Source organism: Homo sapiens, chromosome 14, assembly GCF_000001405.40.
Source record: "Homo sapiens chromosome 14, GRCh38.p14 Primary Assembly".
Classification (NCBI taxonomy): Eukaryota; Metazoa; Chordata; class Mammalia; order Primates; family Hominidae; genus Homo; species Homo sapiens.
The window spans coordinates 100095886-100116026 of record NC_000014.9 but is presented as its reverse complement, the minus strand read 5'-3'; the positions used below and the strand labels follow the sequence as shown (position 1 = coordinate 100116026).

Here is a 20141-nt window from a genome sequence, read left to right as displayed (position 1 = left end):
GGCAGAGCTGGGACCAGAGCCCACGACAAATGTCTCCCGGCCCAGGGCTCTGTCCACCCCAGTGCACTGATGCTCAGCACTGATTAATAAACAAACAGCTCTGCATTTGTCTTTGGGAAACAAAGGCAGCTAGTGTTGAACCCTATCCTCCGAGCTCAGCTCAGGAGGAGACAAATACCTGATTGTCACCCTCCCCATTCTAACACGAGCTTAGACAGCTTAGTTGCTTGCTTAAAGGAACCCGGCGTGAATTTTCTAGTCTTTTCTGCTGAGTTCTTACCACATGAATTTAGGCTCAAGCAGGCTGACATGTCTTACTCAGATTACCAGAGCCAACTGACCCACTGAAATCCTGCAACAGACCCTCCTACCTAAGCCCTGGCCCTGGGCTTAGCAGAGACAGCTCAGCTCCATGGTGACCAATAGGTAAAGCTGTGTCTAGGCGCTCAGGGTCTGAAAGACCTGTCAAGTTAGAAGGTCATCACTTACAGATGTGGGGATGGCACTTCAGAGAGTGGGGGACTGACCAGGGCCACAGTGGGAAGCACCCAGCCCTTGCAGTCATGCACTAACAAGGAGACACTGGAGAGGAAAAGCGCTTGAGTTCTGACAAAGGACAGCAGGGGGCCTGGTGCTGCGCATGTACCGGCGAGAAGCACCCCTTGTGTAGAGGGGTCCCGAGGCCCAGGGAAAGGGCAGGGGCTTGCCCAAGCTCACATTCACAATGAGGAAAGGAGGGCTAGACCCAGTCTCCAGCTTCCAGGCCAGGACACCCCACCCCCACTGTTTGGGCCCACTAGGCTGTGTTCCTTAGGGGAGTTGTTTTCCCTGCAGAATATTCTTTCTGTCTTCCTAATATGCTTATTTCAGGACACAAAACTAACCTTAAAATGAACCTCAAACAGAACAAATAGCAATAAAAATCTGCCACATCTTAATGCTTAATGGTTTACTGAGCATAACTGCATTGTTTTTTTTTTTGTGACTAATCTCTCCAATCATCCATGGCTGGGCTTATTAACCCTATTTTATAGGTGGGGAAACTGAGGCTCGGAAAAGCTACCCGAGGTCATGTGCCTCCAGTGAACGGTGCTGCTGGAACAGAAGCTCAGGCCTCCCAGTACCCAGCTGCTGCTTCCACCCTGCCGCTTCCGCAAGGATGTCATTGCAAACCCTGTAATTGGTCAGTGGCAGATACTCGCCCCAAGATCCAGCACTCCCACCCCCACCCCCGGAGCAGGTGGGAGTGAAAGGAGAGGCCCATGAGGAGCAGGGAGGAGAGAGAGGGGCTCCCATCACCTACAGCTCACTCTGCAAAGCACGGTGCAGTCCCAGTGGCAGAAGCAAAAGCAGTGGAAGGCCCACTCCCTGCTGACCATCACGGGCAGGGCTCCGCGGCACAGGCCGGGGGCACCTCTCGTACTGGGCCACTTACCTCTTCTCCTCTGTCGCCTGGCTGGTGCAGTGGGTAACTGATACGCCTTCCAGCCATCAAGTGGGCTTCCCCACCTCAATCTTTAATGAGGCTGCTCAGCTAACCTATCAGAACCTTCCTGCCCACCTGACTCCAGCAAGCTCCCAGGGCCCTGGCCCTGGAGGACTGTCCAGACCCCTTGTGGGGCTCAGCTCACAGGCCTTGGTGACACCAGGTGTCTGCCAAGAGATACCCTGTAGGTGGCACTCCTCTTAACCCTGTGGGCAATGGGATGGAACAGGGTAGGTGTGGCGTCAGAAGGGAGCAAGTGTGCAGAGAATGCCTGTGAGGCATGCCTAAATTTGGCACCACCCCAAACTTTGGTATGGGAAAACCAAGTTGGCACCCGCTCACAGAAGTAAGGCTCATTTGATTCCCCCCCGGCCCTCCTTCGCTTCGCTCCTTGCTGGACTCCATGAAATGCTGCCTCTCCTGCAAACTGTCTCTTAGGTGCATCCTCTCTGGCCTGTCTAGATCCAAGCCTCATGCTCTCACTTGAAGGGCTTTCCAAGGGTCTCCAACTGGCCTCTCTGCCTCCGCTTATCCCACTGAGTCTGCTTACAGAGTCAATTCTGGAAAGCACTGGTCTTCCAGGCCATTCCTTGGCCAGGAAACTACTGTGGTTCTCCACTGGTCCATGTGGGAAGCTTGGGATTGGGTTCATCCTTACTTTGGGATTGGAGGCCTCTCAGGCTCCAACTTGCCTGTCCCGGTGCCCTGACTGCTGCTCCCAGCCAATCCCACCAAACCTCTCTCCTCCCTGAATGTCCCAACTCCCTTAGCACCCTCCCTCAGGAATACACCATCATTCCCTCTTTCCTTCCCTGGAATCCAGTTCAAATAGGCAAAATACGCATGGATTTTAAGAGCACAACACTGGACTTCAAAGGAATCCCCCCTCCACCCCTCACACTTGCTGCCTTGTGGGGGCATCTGAAGCTTGGCACCTCATTCCTTCCTTGATTTCCCTCCTCCTAGCCCAAATCCTTCCCCCACACGATGAGCAGACTGATTCTAGTGGGCCTTTGACCCTGGGCCAGCTACTCACTTCCTTTCACTGGGACTTAATTTCCGCACCTGAGGGGCTAGAGAGGAAGCATGAGGAAGATGATGAGAGCAACACCCACCGCTGAGTGCTCACTACCTGCCGGGCACCGTTCTGAGCATATAGACTTGAAGCCACTTAAGAGTTAAATCTGAGTCCTGGCTCTCACTTGCTCTTTGACCTTCCTCGCAGCTCCAGGCATGAGGCTAAGCCTGGGATGTTACGCTCAAAGCCTGCCCTTCTAGGCCTGGTTCTGCTTGTTCCTCAGCCTCCCCTTTCTCTTCTCCCGCATGCATCCAAGATGGCAGCACTAGGTTCACATGCCTCTGTGCCGTTGCCTATTTTGCTTCTTTTTGGGCTACTCTTCTAACTGGTGAACGTCTGTCCATCCCCTTTAAGACTCAGATCAGGCATGCCCGCCCCCAGGGCTCTCCCAGTAGCTCTCCCCTTCACCACAGCCTCCCCTGCAAGAAGCCCTGTGTTCTCTGCATCATAGCATAACATACACTGTATTGACAAGGCTCTCTCTCCACCTGGCTGTGAGCTCTGTGAACACAGGGACCAAGTCTTATTCATCTTTGTGTTCTGGTGCATGGCCCAGAATAGGTGCTCAGTAATTCACAGATGGGGTCATAGCTGTGGATACAAACTGCTCCCCTGGAACTTACAATCTAGAGAGGAGAGACAGGCAACAAATAAAGACACAACATGTAGGAAGAAAAACACAGCAGAGAATGAGAATTAAAGGAATGTGTGTGGGTCGTTCTTAAGACAAACTCTGCGATTACGTGGTATAAGCAGACACCCGGAAGAAGTGAGGGAAGGAGCCCTGAGGTTTTGGGGAGAAAACATTCTGGGCACAAGGGGCCTTGGGTGTAGAGGCCCTGACTTTAGGAGCATGCTTGGCACATCTGGGGCATGGCGTAACTGGGATGAAGGAGGAGAGGTAGAGAGTAGGGAGGAAGTGAGTTCAGAAAGACAGCCAGGGCCACAGCATGCCGGGCTAAGCAGGCCTTGGTAAGGATGTGGACTATATTCTGAGTTAAGCCTAAAATCCTAGAGAGTTCTGGGCAAGGACTGAGACCTGACTGAGAGGTGAAATGCAGTCTGCTTGCTTTGCGGGGAATGGATCAGAGTGGGCTAAATGCAGGAGCAAGCCAGTCAGACAGTGGCTGCTGTGAAACCCCCTGCTGCATGGACACCTGGATGAGAGAGGGCAGGCAGCAGATAGGCAGGGGGCAGGGCCTCAAACACTCGCAGCCTGTCCACTCTCAAACTGGAAACTGTATCTCAAGTTCAGCAGTTGGCTTTCTGAGTCTCCGGAGTTATCTACCAAAATATTTGAGCTGGCTTTTATCCTATATGAGCTGAAGCTGGCAGGAGGCTACTTGTAAAACTCCTTCCTTAGGAAAGAAATGATACACGCTACGCGAGGAAAAAAGAAAACAGCTGTGAATGAATTCTTCCCTCACTTTCGAAGATGTGGGTATGTGGCTAGAAAGATGGGGCAGGTTAAGTGTTTATAATAATCAACCTCTGACCAAGCCGGGTTATAGTTTAGAAAGCTGGGGGGCTGCCAGCTGAGCAGGGTCTTTTGAGAGGCAGTCTGGTCCACTGGGCAGAGACCTGGACTGGAAATCAGAACATCTGGGCTCTGGGCCTTAAGCTCTGCATTCACCAGAGTGGCCTGGGGCAAGTTTCTTAGCACTGTGAGCCTTTGTTTCTTCCTTCTTAAAATGGAGAAAGTAATTCCTGCTATCTCCCTGCAATCTCAGGGAGCCAAGATCCAGGCACAAGAGCATCCAGGAAGGGGTTTGTTCCTTTCTGTAAGGAGTATACGGCTTAGCTCTGGGTGGTGGCACACCAGAATGAAATGACTCTGGCTACGACTGAGGGGTGAGATCCCAGTATCTAGGGATTGGGCACTCCAGGAACAACTTGCATTCACTGTGCCATATGCTTACAAATCACAGTCCCATCTATTTTATCATTTGAGCCTCATGACAACTCTGTGAGGTGGTTGTCACACCCATTTTAAAGACAAGGAAACTGGCCGGGCACGGTGGCTCACACCTGTAATCCCAGCACTTTGGGAGGCCGAGGTGGGTGGATCACCAGAGGTCAGGAGTTCAAGACCAGCCTGGCCAACATGGTGAAACCCTGTCTCTACTAAAAATACAAAAATTAGCCGGGCGTGGTGGCGCATGCCTGTAGTCCCAGCTACTTGGGAGGCTGAGGCAGGAGAATCGCTTGAACCTGGGAGGCAGAGGTTGCAGTGAGCTGAGTTTGCACCACTGCACTCCGGCCTGGGCAACAAGAGCTAGACTCTATCACAAAAAAAAAAAAAAAAAAAAAAAAATGAGGACACTAAGGCTTAGAATGGTGAAATGGCTTGCTCAAGGTTTCACAGCTGCTCCATGTGACAGGGTGGAGCGGGTGCCTGGAGCTAGGGCATGGTACCCTGTCACCTGCCCCCACAATCTGTGCCACTTCTGTCAACCACTGTGCTGACCATGGCAGGCACACCTCAGCTGGCTGCTTCCTGAGCCCTACCAGGAGGCGTCAGGAAGGTGCTGGTGAGGCAAGGCTGGGGAATGAACCACCACCTATCTCAAACCCTGACTGGGCACATGGCGCCTGGGCTGTATCTACAGAAGACTAAAACTCCAAAGGAATCTCGCCATTAGCGTTAGGGAGATAATCCTGGGACTGGTGGAAGGAGGAGACCTCTCTTCTCTAGGATGTAAACTGCAATAAGCCAGCAGCTCTTTTGAGGAGGACAATGGCAGCAGCAGGATGCAGGTGGGATGCTCTGAAATTAGGGGCACCCGTGAGGCATGCACAGTACTACCAATGTGCCGAGGGAGACCCCCAGGGTCAGACAGAGCCTCTTCTCAGATCTTGATTTGAACTTCCAAACCACCAAGATCTGCTGGTGCCGCCGTCCTCCTCCTCATCAGATCCCCCCATTCACCCCCAGCCCTGCAGGGCCCAGGTTCAAGCCCCGCTTCCCTCAGAAAGTGTTCTCTGACCATCAGGATCCAAGAAGCCTGGCTTCCCTCTGTGTCCCAACGTGATGGCTGCTGGCACCACACAGGAGTTGATATTGTTAGTTACCTTTTTTTTTTTTTCCTGAGACAGCGTCTTGCTCTGTTGCCCAGGCTGAAGTGCAGTGGTGTAACCATGGCTCACTGCAGCCTCAGACTCCAGGGCTCAAGCAATTCTGCTACCCCAGCCTCCTGAGTAGCTGGGACCACAGGCACACGCCATCACACTTAGCTAATTTTTAATGCTTTTGTAGAGACAAGGGTCTTGCTATGTTGACCAGGCAGGTCTCGAACTCTCACACTGAAGTGATCCCCTGACCTCCTAAAGTGCTGGGATTACAGGCATGAGCCACTGTGCACGGCTGATATTGTTAGTTACCTTTGCAAATAATTTTTTTAAAAAGAGTAACTTCAAACTGTTATAGTAATTTAGAGGTGACAAAGAATGTTTACAAACATCATCTCATGGTACCCTCACAACAACCCTGTGAGGTGAGTCTGATTCAGCCATTTCACAGATGGCGAAACTGAGTCTTAGGTCAGTGACATGCCCAAGGGCACACTCCTGGCACAGCTGGTACTGGAACCAGATCCGAGTTCACGTCCGAAGTTCCTTCCACAGTATGCACACCTCGGGGCCACAGCAGCTGAAGGCCCTTCCATAGGCTGTGGCTGGAGAAGGCGTGTTCCTCTGTTTGGGGTGGTGATAAGTAGGCCAAGGTGACGGGTGCGATTTCTGTGTGAGACAATTCCATTAACCATGTCCCTCAATCACAGATAGCACCCCTCACCTTGAGCCCAGTTTCACAGGTTGGCCAGCAAGCGGTCTTGGTTCAGGAACTCCATCTTAGTCTGCAGAGAAGGATGCAATGGCAGGAAGTGCCAGGCTATGAGAGGCACACAATATGACATGGGCGCAAGCTGGGAGCTTGTTCAGTCACCAGACACCTCTGATGTGTCAGTCTCTCTTCAGGGCTCCCGAGACACAGAAACAGACACCTGCCCTCGAGGAGCTCACAGTCTAGACAAACAAACCCAGGGTCCAAACAAATGGGACACCAACAGTGTGCGAGGACTGGGAAGGGGTGCCTGAGGTCTTCTGGGGCACTGGGAAGGCTTCACAACAGCAGGGCAAAGGATGAGCAGAAGGTGACCAGGAGTATGGAGAGAACATGCATGAGGGCAGGGGCGGGGCCCCTTTAGACGCAGCCCAGGGAGGACAGACTGAAGAAGGACAAGAGAAGGTGGATGGGTTACAACCCCATTACAACACTTCAGGGGAGAGAGTGTCAGGGGAGAGACGGTGAGAATATGCAGTGCAGGTGGTGAAAATGGGAGCCAGTGAGTCAGAGGGACCAGGGGCTCAGGCCAATGCACAGCCTTCACTGCTGGACATGGTCCCACAGGACCTCGATGCTGAGCTGGGGCCTGGGCTGAGTCAGGAGACAGGGCTCCAGGCACGGCAGCCTCTGGGTCCTGGTGTGTTCCTGCAGCCAGGGATGGATATACTGAGAGCTTATAAGGCAGACGATGTGTGGGTTTTTGGGGTCCAGAGACAAAGAGGCCACTTTCTGAATTTCCAACCTGACTAGATTCATGCAGTGGGAATAGCAGGACAGGCCAAGTGGCAGCTGACTGTTAGGACAGAGGCAAAAATAAAGCCCCGTGGGAGTGCAGGAGGGAGTGCAAAGTCACAGGGAGCGGGGCGGCTGGGAAAGGCTCCATCTGTGGAGCCACATTCTGACAGGACGAGTGAGATTTTAGAAGTGTGGGGAAAAGTGAGAGGGGAAGAAGGGCCAGGGGCACAGGAGAGCCTGAGTAAGAGTGTGACTGACGGTGCGACTTGGGTAGCTGTTGGCATGGAGGCGTACAAAGGCCCTGCCTGATACAACATCTGGAGCCCTGGGGTGAGAACAGGGGTGGGTCAGCAAAGAGACATATCCGGCTTTCAGAAAGTGGCCGCCAGAGGGCAGCTGGGAGCAGGCAGGAGGCCAGGGGCTTGCCGTCCTGTTCCCCTCAGGCAGGGCCATGCTGGGCCTGCTTTCTCTCAGGTGGCACAAGGTGTCAAATGGCCTCGGCAGCCAGGGAGATGAAGACAGTCCAGTACTTCCTTCTCTTTAGGGGAGAAAGAGGTAATTTCCAATGGAAAGAGGTTTACAAGAAGCAAAATTCAGCCCCACCTCCAAGAGCTATGAGGTTTAACAACCTTCCACTCCCCTCCAAAGAGCACATGGAGCTGGGCCTGACTCTTCCCGGGAAGGTCTGCCTGTAAGTCCCTTTCCGGGGCTCTTTCTCAACACTGTGCTGAAGGTGCAGCCCCTGGGCCACTGGGCATCAATGAAGGACATAAGAGGTTGAAAAACTGGGAAAACATTTATTATCCAGCACCAGGAGCTTCATATTTTGAAATATACCAATGATGTTATTACACGCAAACCAAGTAGGAAAAGGACATACATTATGCTCCAAGAGCCAAAGAGAACAAGCACTTCATCCTGTGTTTTAATTCGCCCGGATTCCCACTAAGCTATGGGGTTTTCCTTTTTCTTTTCTTCAGAGTCCCACTGTATAAAGTCGATGAAGAACTACTCTGGTTGCATCAGGGCGAGGACCCTGGTATACCTTGGTGGACCCCTGGAACTCCTCAAAATATCCAGTTTGAAATCCACTGCATTCAACCCCCAAACTGCAAATAAACTTGCCTTTGACCACACATGCTTCTGTCCCACCCCCACCCAATCCAGCAGCAGGGGCACGTCTGACAAGATTTCATTAGTGAGAACCAAATGCGAAGAAACAGTCAAAATCCAGTTACTCAACCCTCTCCTCACCAGCACTGCTTTCCATGCACCTCGGCCCTCTTCCTAAAGCCTGGTCCTTTTCTGGTCCTTGGCCTGGAAAAAGTGATCTTTCATGAGGGAATGCTAGTGGAGGAACGTTGGGCGTGGCCATGGTTCTGCTCAGACTTGTCCTGTGGCCTGCACACATCCTCCCCCTCACTGGGTCTTGGTTTTGTCATCTGTAAATGTAAACCCAGTCTCATGACACCCAAGCCTCCTTCCCTGGCTCCCACTCACTGGCCCTACCCCGGCCTAGACTATCTGCCTTCTACACCAGCAGAGGCTTTGAGGGGGATTTTCTTTAAAATTCACTCCCACTATGTGGTCGAGTGCCATCAGCTTGGGGTCTTGCCTCAAGTGCCACCAGGGCCCTGCTCTCCTGGAGTAATGGGAGACGATGACACGATGACTCTAGTAAGTTCTGAGAGGACCTACAGTGGTTTAATGGAAAACTGCTGGATGTGGGGACAAAAAGAGGAGCAGCATGGGGCACGGCCCTGAAGGCCACATACCAGGCACCGGGCATCTTCGTGTCATGTGAACTGCCACGGGCCTGTGGTGTCATTCCACCTGCTGATGGAGGAGGTGACTTGCTCAGGGTCACACAGACCCAACGTAGCCCGGCTCCAGGACATGCACTCTTCCTGCTAGACCAAGCTGCTCCCACCACACTTCCAGGCACTGGAGGAGAAGAGGAGCATGTTCTCATCCTGGCTTCTCTTCCTGACTGGGTCATATCAGGAAGTGGTTTGGGCCAAGTACAAACTTCCTCCCTCTGGGGCTCAGTTTTCCTGGCTGTGAAATGAGACAGACACTGTGCTATCTCCATGGCACTGTTAAGCGACAACCAGGCAAGACACAGATGCAATGCAGGAAGGAACCAGCCCGAGTTTCACAAAACTTCAACCCTCTCAGGCCCGATGGTCCTCTTTTTATTATAATGTTTTGTAATGATCCTTGCATTATCCTGAAGTGAAATTCATAGATTACATAACCTACCTACCTAAATTCGGATATAATGCCTTACATGTACTGCAAAGGAGAGAGAAAAGAGAAGCAGTCTATAATAAAATGTGCATTACAACACATAAAGGGCCAGACCCAGCTACACTAGGAGACGGAGGCGGTCCACGCTTGCACCTACCCACAGACCCACTGGGAGTGCTGCTGCTGCAAATGGGATGTGACGAAGGGGAGGTCTATGGATGACTGAAACGTCACAGTGACGATGCTGGAGATAGGACTTTACGAAACAGAAAACAACTCTTGGTAAAGTTACAAACAAAATTAAGTATGATTTTCTTTTGACGGATGCAGTAGTCAAATTCCTAGAAAATTCAGCACATACTAAACCTGGTTAAAAAAATAAGTGCTTTTTCTTAAAACAGAGCAAGCTCTGGCTTGAGTTTTTCAACTGCATGTTTTGGTGGGACACGCAAGACAAGACTTCACTGCGCAGGATGATCCTGCACATTGCAATGTGCACCTGTCCCCGCTGTCCCCTAAATCGCCAACAGCTCTCCGTTTCCACTTTGTCTCTGGTGAGAGCTTCTTGTCTGGTCTGACACTGCCATTTCAGAGTCTAGAACATCAACACCTACAAAGAAGACAAAACGTAACTAAAGCCACATGCGAGGCAAAGGCTGAGTGGGGGCAAGAGCCTCCTCCCGGCTTGCAGGGCAGGTTCTCCCCCGACTCAAGGAAGCTCATGGACAGTCAAACTTTCTGCAGAGTTTCAGACACTGTGGCAGGGGAGGCATGTTCCCTATTCAGTTGGGATGTGGCCAAGCGGCTGCTGCTGCTACAACCACTACTACTTACTGCTAGTCACCATCACAGCCCTTCCTGCTTGTGCTAGGCTGTCTGTCTCAAATACTTCTACAGCCATCGTCCCCTTGGACTCTCATGCTGCGAGACAGACATGCCACGGATAACCACCTACATTTCACAGACGAAGAAACCAAGGTCCAAGAAAGGGAAATGAGTTGCCCAAGGCACATGCAAAGAAAGAGCACAGCCAGGTCTAGCACCCAGGTCTCTTGGTTACCTCAACACCATGACCTCTTACCAAGCAGATGACAGCTTACCCGGCACCCTGAAGGGCGCCTTGCCTGGCAAAAGACTGTGGAGGACAATCAGTACTCTGTCTTCCAAATGAGGATACTGAGGCTCGAAAATGTCACTAGACCTGATGAAGTCACACAGTCAGCAGATGGTGGGACTAGGGCAAGAGCCAGGCCTCCTGAGTCTCAGTCTGGAAGGCTAGAATTGGGGTCCCTGTTCTTAGAGGGTTGCTGAGATTCAAAAGGTGAAAAGGCTCATGCAGTTATCACACATATCCTGAGTCCCCGTGGTGTGTCGCCTCTGTACTTGTTCTAGAGAGGCAGGGATGACTGAGACAACACAGGTCCTGCTCCCAACAGGACTAGCGTGCTAGTAGGGATGCTGGTACCAAAGAGGTGTCCTGAATAAAACATGCTAAGTAGCATGATTGAGTAAACATGCAGGGCCAAGGGCACTGGCTGCAGCTGCCCAACAGGAGGCAGTAGATGGAGCAGCAAGGAGGTGGCCCTGGATGTTGGCATGACCGGCACAAGGTCTGACCCTGGGGCCCCGTGGCTCTACAAAGCCCTCTGTGAGGCCAGCTCCCATCCCTTCTTCTCCTTCAGCTACAGGAGTAGCTCCAAAAGTTAAAAAAAAAAAAAAAAAAAAAAAAAAGTAAAGAGAGGAGAAACTGGATTATATACCCCTAAAACCCTTCCTATCTTTAAATTCACTTGTGACTGCAGCTCAGCGGGGGATTATTTATCTACACATTTGATCTCACAGTGCCATGTTTCTTTCTCATGTTCCTGCAGTGATTCATCCAAGGAAACTCTTTCTCAAATAGGCACTCAGACTTCTGATAGTTCCAATAAAAATTATTATGAGGACTGGTAACTGTTATGACTATTTTTAATGCAGAACTACCTCATCCCCATCATAACGGGAGCTTTGCAGGGTTTATAAAAACCTTGCCAAGTTCTCTGAGAACTTTCTGAGGAGCAGAAAAACATCTTTTGCCCTGGGGCCCTCACACTAGTGTGGAGAGCTCCTTATTCCTTAGAATTGTCTCAAATAAACCAAGTGGCCACCTTCACCAATTAGGAGGCACAACCCAGAGAATAACTCATGCTTTGAGACAGTATTATCCACATAAATAACCAATTAATCCAATATGAGAAAAGGAGAAGCTAAAGCCAGAGATCTGATCAACAATGAAAGTAATGACTTTCAGCTTTCAGGACCAGATATTACAATAAAGAAAAAGAAAAGTAACGGCTGAAGGTCTGCCTGAGAGGAAGAAGATTTAAACCACCACCATCATAATAAATAGAAGAACTCAAAAGTCAAGTCCCCTGGGGCTGCTGAATGCAGAGGTAGACTATGTACTTGTCCCCGGCCCAGTGCCACCTGAAAAGGTCACAGTGGGTTTTAAAAAGACAGCAACTATTTACCAAACACTTACTTGGTGTTAGGAACTGTCCTGAGCACTCTAAAGGGATGATCACAGTTAGTCCTCAGAACAACCAACGGGCAGGTACAGGTCAGGCGACTGGGGCACAGGGAGATCAAGTAACTTGCTCAGAATAAGTACATATGCACACACACACGCTCACACGCACCCTCCTGCAGCACGTGCATGCATATACCCACAGCACACAGGGCCCTGGGTGCCGGGATGTGAAAAACGCAGAGAAAAGCACATACCTCCTTGCCCTCAGGAGCTTGTATCTATGCACTCAACACTCAACAGCTCTTTTGGGTCTGTGGATGCATCATGCACTGTGATGGGCGCTGGGATCCAATGGGGATCCAGGTCAGCTGCTGTGTCTCTGCCTCTCACAACAGCCTTGTGGGAGACCAAACAGCAGCCGGGCCTTAATGTTACAAAGTGGTGAATGGCAATGGGGAGCATGGGGAGCACATAGAAGGGGCGCCTCATCCTCACCTGGGGTGGGCATGGGGGGCCACAGAAGTCTTCCCAGAGAAAGGGAAACCCAGTAGGAGAGGAAAGATCAGTACATGAGCAGGCAAAATGAAGAGGAAATGGATAAAGAGAGGCAGAAACCAAGTGTCCCAGGAGGCCAAGCGGGGAGACAGAAGTTGAAGGAGGAGGAAAGCTTTGCTGAGAGAGCACTAGGCTGGATCCAGAGGGCTGGGGAGGATGTTGATAAGCAGAGATGGTAAGAAAACATTCCAGGGAGAGAACAATATTTGAAAAGCTTGGCATCCAATCCCTACAGGACGCTGACTTTTCTACATCTGTCCTTGGCTGTGTGCCTTTCTACTGTTTGCATATTTTTAGAAAACAAAAACACAAGCTCATCTGAAAGCTCCCTGTGTGCTCTTGTCACTTTTGGTATCCTTTTCCTTCAAAAAAAAAAAAAAACTCTCTGGGAAAATATAAAATGACAACCTCTTAAGCCCCAGAGCCACAGAATCTTGCCTCTGATTTGTGTCTTTTTTTTTTTTTTTTTGAGACGGAGTCTTGCTCTGTTGCCAGGCTGGAGTGCAGTGAGGCGATCTCGGCTCACTGCAACCTTTTTCTTCCGGGTTCAAGCGATTCTCCTGCCTCAGCCTCCCAAGTAGCTGGGACTAGAGGTGCACGCCACCAAGCCCAGCTAATTTTTGTATTTTTTCTTTTAGTAGAGACAGAGTTTCACCATGTTGGCCAGGATGGTCTTGATCTCTTGACCTTGTGATCCGCCCGCCTCAGCCTCACAAAGTGGTGGGATTACAGGCGTGAGCCACTGTGCCCACCCTTTATGTCCATTTTTAAAAGTAGGTGACAGTATGATGGTGGGTGCCAAGATCAGCAGGCAGCAGAGAAATACTCTGGTCAGAACTGCCCTTTAAGGAGAGAAGAGGAACGGGTGGGTAGGGGCCAGCATGGGAGAAAAACGCCAACCCTCCCTCTGGCACTTCTGGAGGAATCTAGGTCTCTTAGCTGCTAGCTCTCCCTTCCCCATCATTACACCAGATGGCGTCTCTTTCAGAAGCCAGACGAGGAAGAGCCAAGGAATCTGTGACCCACCAACATGGCTCTAGAAGCTAAACAAGAAGTTTCTCCAGCAGAAGGAAAGGTCCAAGGAATGACAAACACGAATAACAATAACAACTCCTAAAATGTAGACAATGTAGATGTCACCTGACAGCCAAGGAGGTGTACTTATCCTCTATCATGAGCCTGGAACATACCACATGACGTTAGGCTGCCTCCATTCATTTGTGGAAGGAAATACAAGGTTGCTTTGTCATTAGAGGATGCACGCACCTGGGGAGAGGGAAATTATGCAGATATAGCAAAAGGTGCAAGGAGGCTGTGTTCCTCTATGCTGCGCTGCACTTGTCAAAGGTACTGATAAAAATAACAGAAAAGATGAAATTGCCTACTAATGTATGCAAATGTTCACCCTTACCAGTAAGGAAAAATGCAAGTCAGACCGGGCATGGTGACTTACACCTTAATCCCAGCACTTTGGGAGGCTGAGGTGGGCGGATCACTTGAGGTCAGGAGTTTGAGACTGGCCTGGCCAACATGGTGAAACCTCGTCTCTACTAAAAATACAAAAATTAGCCAGGCATAGTGGTGGGCGCCTGTAATCACAGCTTCTCATGAGGCTGAGGCAAGGGAATCACTTGAACCAGGAGGCAGAGGTTGCAATAAGCCGAGATAGTGCCACTGCACTCCAGCCTGAGTGACAGAGCGAGACTCCATCCTCCCAAAAAAAGAAAAATGCAAATAAAAATGTTTCCCTTCTCTTGTGTTTACAAAGATTAATGAGAGTACTAATGCCTAGTGCTTATGAATTATGAAGTCTGAGGAGTGGGCAACTGTCTTGTGCTGGACAGCGTGTAAACCAGTATAGTCATGCTAGAAGGCATTTGGCAAGACTTCCCAAAACTTTATTTTCTAATTTTTACTTATTTTTTTGAGACGGAGTTTCACTCTTGTTGCCCAGGCTGGAGCATAATGGTACAATCTCGGCTTACTGCAACCTCTGCCTCCTGGGTTCAAGTGATTCTCCTGTCTCAGCCTCCCGAGTAGCTGGAATTATAGGCATGCGTCACCACACCCAGCTAATTTTCTTTTTTTTGAGACAGAGTTTCGCTCTTGTTGCCCAAAGTGGAGTGCAATGGCACAATCTCAGCTCACCGTAATCCCGCCCCCTGGGTTCAAGCGATTCTCCTGCCTCAGCCTCCCGAGTAACTGGGATTACAGGCACGCACCATCATGCCTAATTTTATATTTTTAGTAGAGATGGGGTTTCCCTATGTTTGTCAGGCTGGTCTTGGAACTCCCGACCTCAGGTGATCTGCCTGCCTTGGCCTCCCCAAGTATTGGGATTACAGGTGTGAGCCACCGCGCCCGGCCTAATTTTGTCTTTTTAGTAGAGACGAGGTTGGCCAGGCTGGTCTCGAACTCTTGACCTCAGGTGATCTGCCCACCTCGGCCTCCCAAAGTGCTGGGATTACAGGCATGAGCCACCATGCCCGGACCCAAAACTTGAAAAGCACATATATTGTTTGACACAGAAACATGCCCAAGGAAAATAACTGGACAAGCATGCGAATATGGACACATGAGATACAAAGTATACATACACATAAAAATAACAAGAATGCCCTCTACCACATGAGGATAATCGTGGAAAATGGGGACAACCAACATGTTTAAAAGTAGATGGTGCTTACATTATGGCACATCTTTGCATGGTCCTCGGCAGAGTACCTTAGCCACATAAATGTTGGAAGGTTCATACTTCCATTTTTTTTTTTTTTTTTTTTTTTTTGAGACAGACTCTTGCTCTGTCACACAGGCTGGAGTGCAGTGGTGCAATCTTGGCTCACTGCAACTGCAATCTCTGCCTCCTGGGCTCAAGCAATCCTCCCACCTCAGCCTCCCAAGTAGTTGAGACTACAGACACATGCCAACAAGCCAAGCTAATCATACACACTGTATGATTTCATTTACATGACGCTCAAAAACAAAAACAAAAGTGGACTTCGTATCTATTCTTAAGTGCAGGGACTGCGGGGAGGGCCTTTTGGTGCTGACTACATTTTCTTTCTCGGTCTGGCACTGGGAACTGCGCACACACGTGTTAACAGTTCATCAAGTTGCATCTGCTTATCTGCGCATGGTATTGTCAGTAGGCTTGGACCTCGGCTGAAGCAAAAGCTTATTCGTCAGTGGGCTGCAGGACCTGCAGTCCATGCAAAGGAGGTCACTACCAGCTGAACCAGAGTGGACAACTAACTGTTCCTCCTCATGAAAGCTTCAAATTGGGGTACTCTCACATTGTATGCATACATCCAAACTAGCTGATGTCTCCCGCCCCCGCCTCAACAAGACACTCATTCAACCCCAGGGAATGTAGGAGGTCGGGTTCTGGATCTTACTATCTGACAACGAGAAGTTGTTTCCTCATAATGCGGCATGGCTTTCTTATCTGAAAATGAGGGCAGGATTAACAGATTTACCTGTGATTCTCTGGTGAATTTAATAAAATAACTAGCAGTTTTTATTTAATTTAAGCACTTGCTCTGAAAGTGTTTTTTTTTTTTTTTTTTGCCCCCAAGGTATCTGCATGTACAAGTAAAATAAAGCTACCTTGGGGGCAAAAAAAAAAAGCACTTTCAGACCAACCACTTAAATTAAATAAAAACTACAAGTATCTGCATGTACAAGTAAAATAAAGCTGGGCCGGGCGCAGTGGCTCACGCCTGTAATCCCAGCACTTTGGAAGGCCAAGGTGGGCGGATCACAAGGTCAGGAGATCAAGACTATCCTGGCCAACATAGTGAAACTCTGTCTCTACTAAAATAAAATTAAAAAAAAAAAAAAAAGCTTAACTCCCACATCCTGGAGGCAGGCGAGGTAAGTTCAGACGGAAATGTTAAATTCACCTCATGGCTCTTGGGTGGAAACAGACAGTTTAGTAAACATTTGCTGGGCACTTACGATGCCTCAGGCCCTGTGCTCATCACTCAACACTGCCATGATTAAGATGCTTCCTTACCATGCTCTCCAAGTACTAAGCAGAAAATCTACAAACTTTGGAGCATTGTCAAGATAGGGAAAGCTGCCAGTACCTGCTCTACGCACGACCCATGGGAAGCATGTTCAAAACATGTTCTTTATTTACTTAAAAAAACCACAAAACTCTCCTACAGTGTGTGTGTGTGTGGGTGTGTGTTTGTATGTAAGACACAGGCTCTCACTATGTTGTCCAGGCTGGACTCGAACTCTTGGACTCAAGTGATTCTTCTACCTCAGCCTCATGAATTGCAGGCATGCACCACAATGCCCAGATCTCCTAACACTTAAACTGGGTCCTAAAGCTCCAATATATCAGGCCCAGTACACACTTTTTCTTTTTTTTTTTTTTTTTTTTGTAGAGACAGGGTCTTGCTATGTTGCCTAGGTTGGTCTTGAACTCCGGACCTCAAGTGATCCTTCTGCCTTGGTCTCTCAAAGTGTTAGGATTATAGGCCTGAGCCACCACGCCTGGCGCCAGTAGATATTTAAATGCCACAGCCCTCCAGGTTCTGAGTACTATGTCTCTTCATTTCCCACCTCAATTCTGATAGCAGTAACAGCAGCAGCAACAATAATGATCGTAATAATACTCACAAATGCTAATAGAGTTGTTACTAGGCCAGGCAACCTGAGAAACATTTTACATTCTAGTTCATTTAAATGTAAAAACAACTCTATATCCCCCGATTTTATAGGTAAGGAAATTGAGGCACAAAAACATTCAGTAACTTGCTCAAGAGTTCCTCTGCTAGCATATGTCAGAACCAGGACTCAAACTGACCAGTGTGACTCCATGCCTGGTTCTTAACTACCAAGTTCTCCCAAGGTAGGCTCTCCAGCCGATGGCAGGACCATAACCCAGTCAATCAAGACACCCATCCTGGGAAAGCCTTGTTTCTCCCTCCAAAGCTACCACTGCAAATGTCCAATAAAAGCCACATGTAATTCTGCTTCTTTGCTTTAACTGTCCTGCTGAGAAACTTTTTGCTAGCCCCTCTCCCAATGTCTACCCTAAGTATCAAGCAAGCCCAAAGTCTTCCAGGTATTTGGGGCCTTTCACTGTGCAAGCCCTGATGCCTTTCCAATTTCATTTCCAATCTCTTTCCTATCTGCACTCCAGGCCCCAGAAATGCTGCATCGCCCTCTTCCCAGCACTACGGGCTCACTCAGGCCCTTCTGCCTTTGCTGCTTTTCCCGCCTGCGATGCCCACTCCTGCCTCTGCCTGTGAACTGCTCACCCAGAACTCCGGCTCAGACGGCACCACCACTGTGGAGGTCTCCCTTGGCGGCTCTGAAGGGCAGTTACTTATGTCCTATTCTGTGGTCCCTAAGTACCTTGCACGTACCTTTATTTAAACACTTACTGCAATACATTCCAGTTAGCTGTTTATGAACCTGTCTACCATGAAAAACTAAATGCCTTGAGGGGAAGGCCGCTGTTCATTTCTTATCTATTTTGCCTACACGGTTTCTTGCCCTCAGTAAGCATTTAATAAACTTTTGTTAAACATATGAATGAATAATTAAATTCAAAAATAAATTCTTGACTGTTTTCTCCCATCTCTCTCAAATGTTTGCTCTGGAATATGGAAACAGGATGGCAAGTTTAAAACAGATCTGGATATGTGGCTTCAGGGACACATCTGTACAAATCTATATCTCACAAGTGGCAAAGAGATACAAACTCCATTCTTTCCTCCTCTGAATTGTTAATATCTCTAAATCTAAAGGCAGGCAGCAGGTTTCTCTGAGAACACATGCAACCTCAGCTCAATGCAGTGACAGTGCTAGGATACCCGGAGAGCCAGAGCTGTGGGAGGGCAGAGGTAGAACAAGAGAGGGTCTCAGCATCAGGCCAAGACAAAGCCCTACTTACCTCCTTCTTGGGAATTCATGATGTTCAGGGCAAACAGCATTGCATTGGAGAACGTGGTTGCCTCTTCTTTACTTGCAAAGTTTAAGCCGTAGACCTGGCGGGCATCTCGCCACTGGTGGAAGGTTGGCGTGGCCTGATTGTACTTCAGCCCTTTCACGATTGAATAATTGATCACAACCTGGAGGAGAAAGGAGAGAGAAATACGTGTAAATAAATAAAATGTAAGTGAGCTCGAGGGCGCTGCGATGGAGCAAGTATACTGTATCCTTGAGAGGACAGGAAGATGGGGATGGGGTTTGAAGAAGGGAAAAGCAATATCAGGTAGACTTTCAGACCATAATCTATAGAACAGTGAGGGTTTGCAAAACCTGTTCTTTCCTTTAACTAATAATGCTATGTAGTTACAACCTCCAGATGAACAGCTGAGCTGGGAGGCAGGTTCCCTGGCTCTGGTTTGGCCCTGCCTCTCAGCCACTCCACTCATGGCAGTCACTGCACTTTGCTGGGGCTCAGTTTCTCCACTTATAAGATGGGGATAATAATTCTGGCTTTACCAATCCAATGGGGTTACTGCGAAGATCACATTGTGATACGTATCTTATTTATAGCTTACCTTCTAGATATAAAGCTCCTAAGGGCAAGTCTTCTATAATTCATATTTATGCCTCCTATAGCCCTCTGCATAGTGTCTAGTACTTTGAATGCATTAATAAGTGGGCTATGTGTCGAAAGAATAACTTGGGAAAGTTTATGTACCACACATGTATACAGCATTATTCATATCTTATTACTCAATCAAAAAGCATCAACTGACTGCCAGGAGCAATGCCAGGCCCAGCAGGGAAGGATACAGAGACGACAGAATCCAGACATTCAGGTGCTTACAAGCTGCTAGGGGATTCAACACCAGGTCTGCCTGACCTCTAAACTTCTGCTCTTTCAGAGATTTAAAAGAAGATTATTTCAAAGTACTTTAAGACTATATTCCTAAGTCGTGCCCTGGAGGAAAAGATGCTGGGGCTGGAGCCCTCATTCTGCTTCCCATCCCTTCTAGCTTGGAGTCAGATGATCTAACATCATGACACTTATGAATGATCGGTTTTCTGGTCTGTCAAATGGAGAAGAATGTGATATGGCTATGGCATGGCACCCTCACAGTGTGTTGTGAGGATTAAATTATATATGAGAAAGTAACTGACACAGCTCCTGGCACAAGGTAGGCTGCCAGTGACTGAATGGAGAAATATGAAGATCTCTACGAATGGAAGTATGCAAGCAGAGTCTGGATGAGGCCGGAGAGCCAGCTCTTAGAGACGCCATGGAAAGGATTTTGCTTTAGAAGTACAAGATGATTTCTCAGATTTTGTCTGGCTTTAAGGTTGCAAGGACTGTGTGATCTGAGGTTGGGGATAACGCTCTCTATGCTGATTTATCACTTTCCTTTATTGCTCCACACTGCTGTGCTGCTGGATAAGGTAAAGCCAGAGGACAGCAAACATGAGTGACATCCAGAAAAGCTGTTTTCCAAGTCTTGGGTGGAAGGTGGGCTTGGGTCTTCCTATGACAGGCACAGGCAGGGAAAGAGGGGACACACACACAGTACACTAAATCAGCTAAAAAAACGTAATTGAAGCTGGGCATGGTGGCTCACACCTGTAATCCCAGGACTTTGGGAGGCCAAGGTGGGCGGATCACCTGAGGTCAGAAGTTCAAGATCAGCCTGGCCAATATGGCAAAACCCCGTCTCTACTAAAAATACAAAAATAAGCCGAG

General features: G+C 49.0%; 1 protein-coding gene and 2 non-coding genes across 13 annotated transcripts in view; 1 reads left to right on the top strand and 2 right to left on the bottom strand.

Moving 5' to 3' along the window:
• EVL (Enah/Vasp-like) overlaps window positions 1-20141 on the bottom strand; it is a 172815-nt gene that overhangs the window by 28210 nt on the left and 124464 nt on the right. For 10 of the 11 annotated variants that reach the window (XR_007064013.1, XR_007064014.1, NM_001330221.2 and 7 more), the window contains exon 3: window positions 18369-18546. Coding sequence is in view for 9 of the 11 variants with exons in the window: in NM_001330221.2 (NP_001317150.1) it covers window positions 18369-18546 (178 nt within the window). In the remaining 2 variants the exon portion in view is untranslated. Of the gene's footprint in view, window positions 1-13647; window positions 13706-18368; window positions 18547-20141 lie in introns of those variants that run through there. The other variant, XM_047431465.1, reaches the window with a different exon arrangement.
• Window positions 6274-6372, bottom strand: MIR342 (microRNA 342). Its single transcript, NR_029888.1, has one exon. It is a non-coding gene; the product is annotated as a microRNA 342 (primary transcript).
• On the top strand, window positions 6513-6608 carry MIR151B (microRNA 151b). Its single transcript, NR_039601.1, has one exon. It is a non-coding gene; the product is annotated as a microRNA 151b (primary transcript).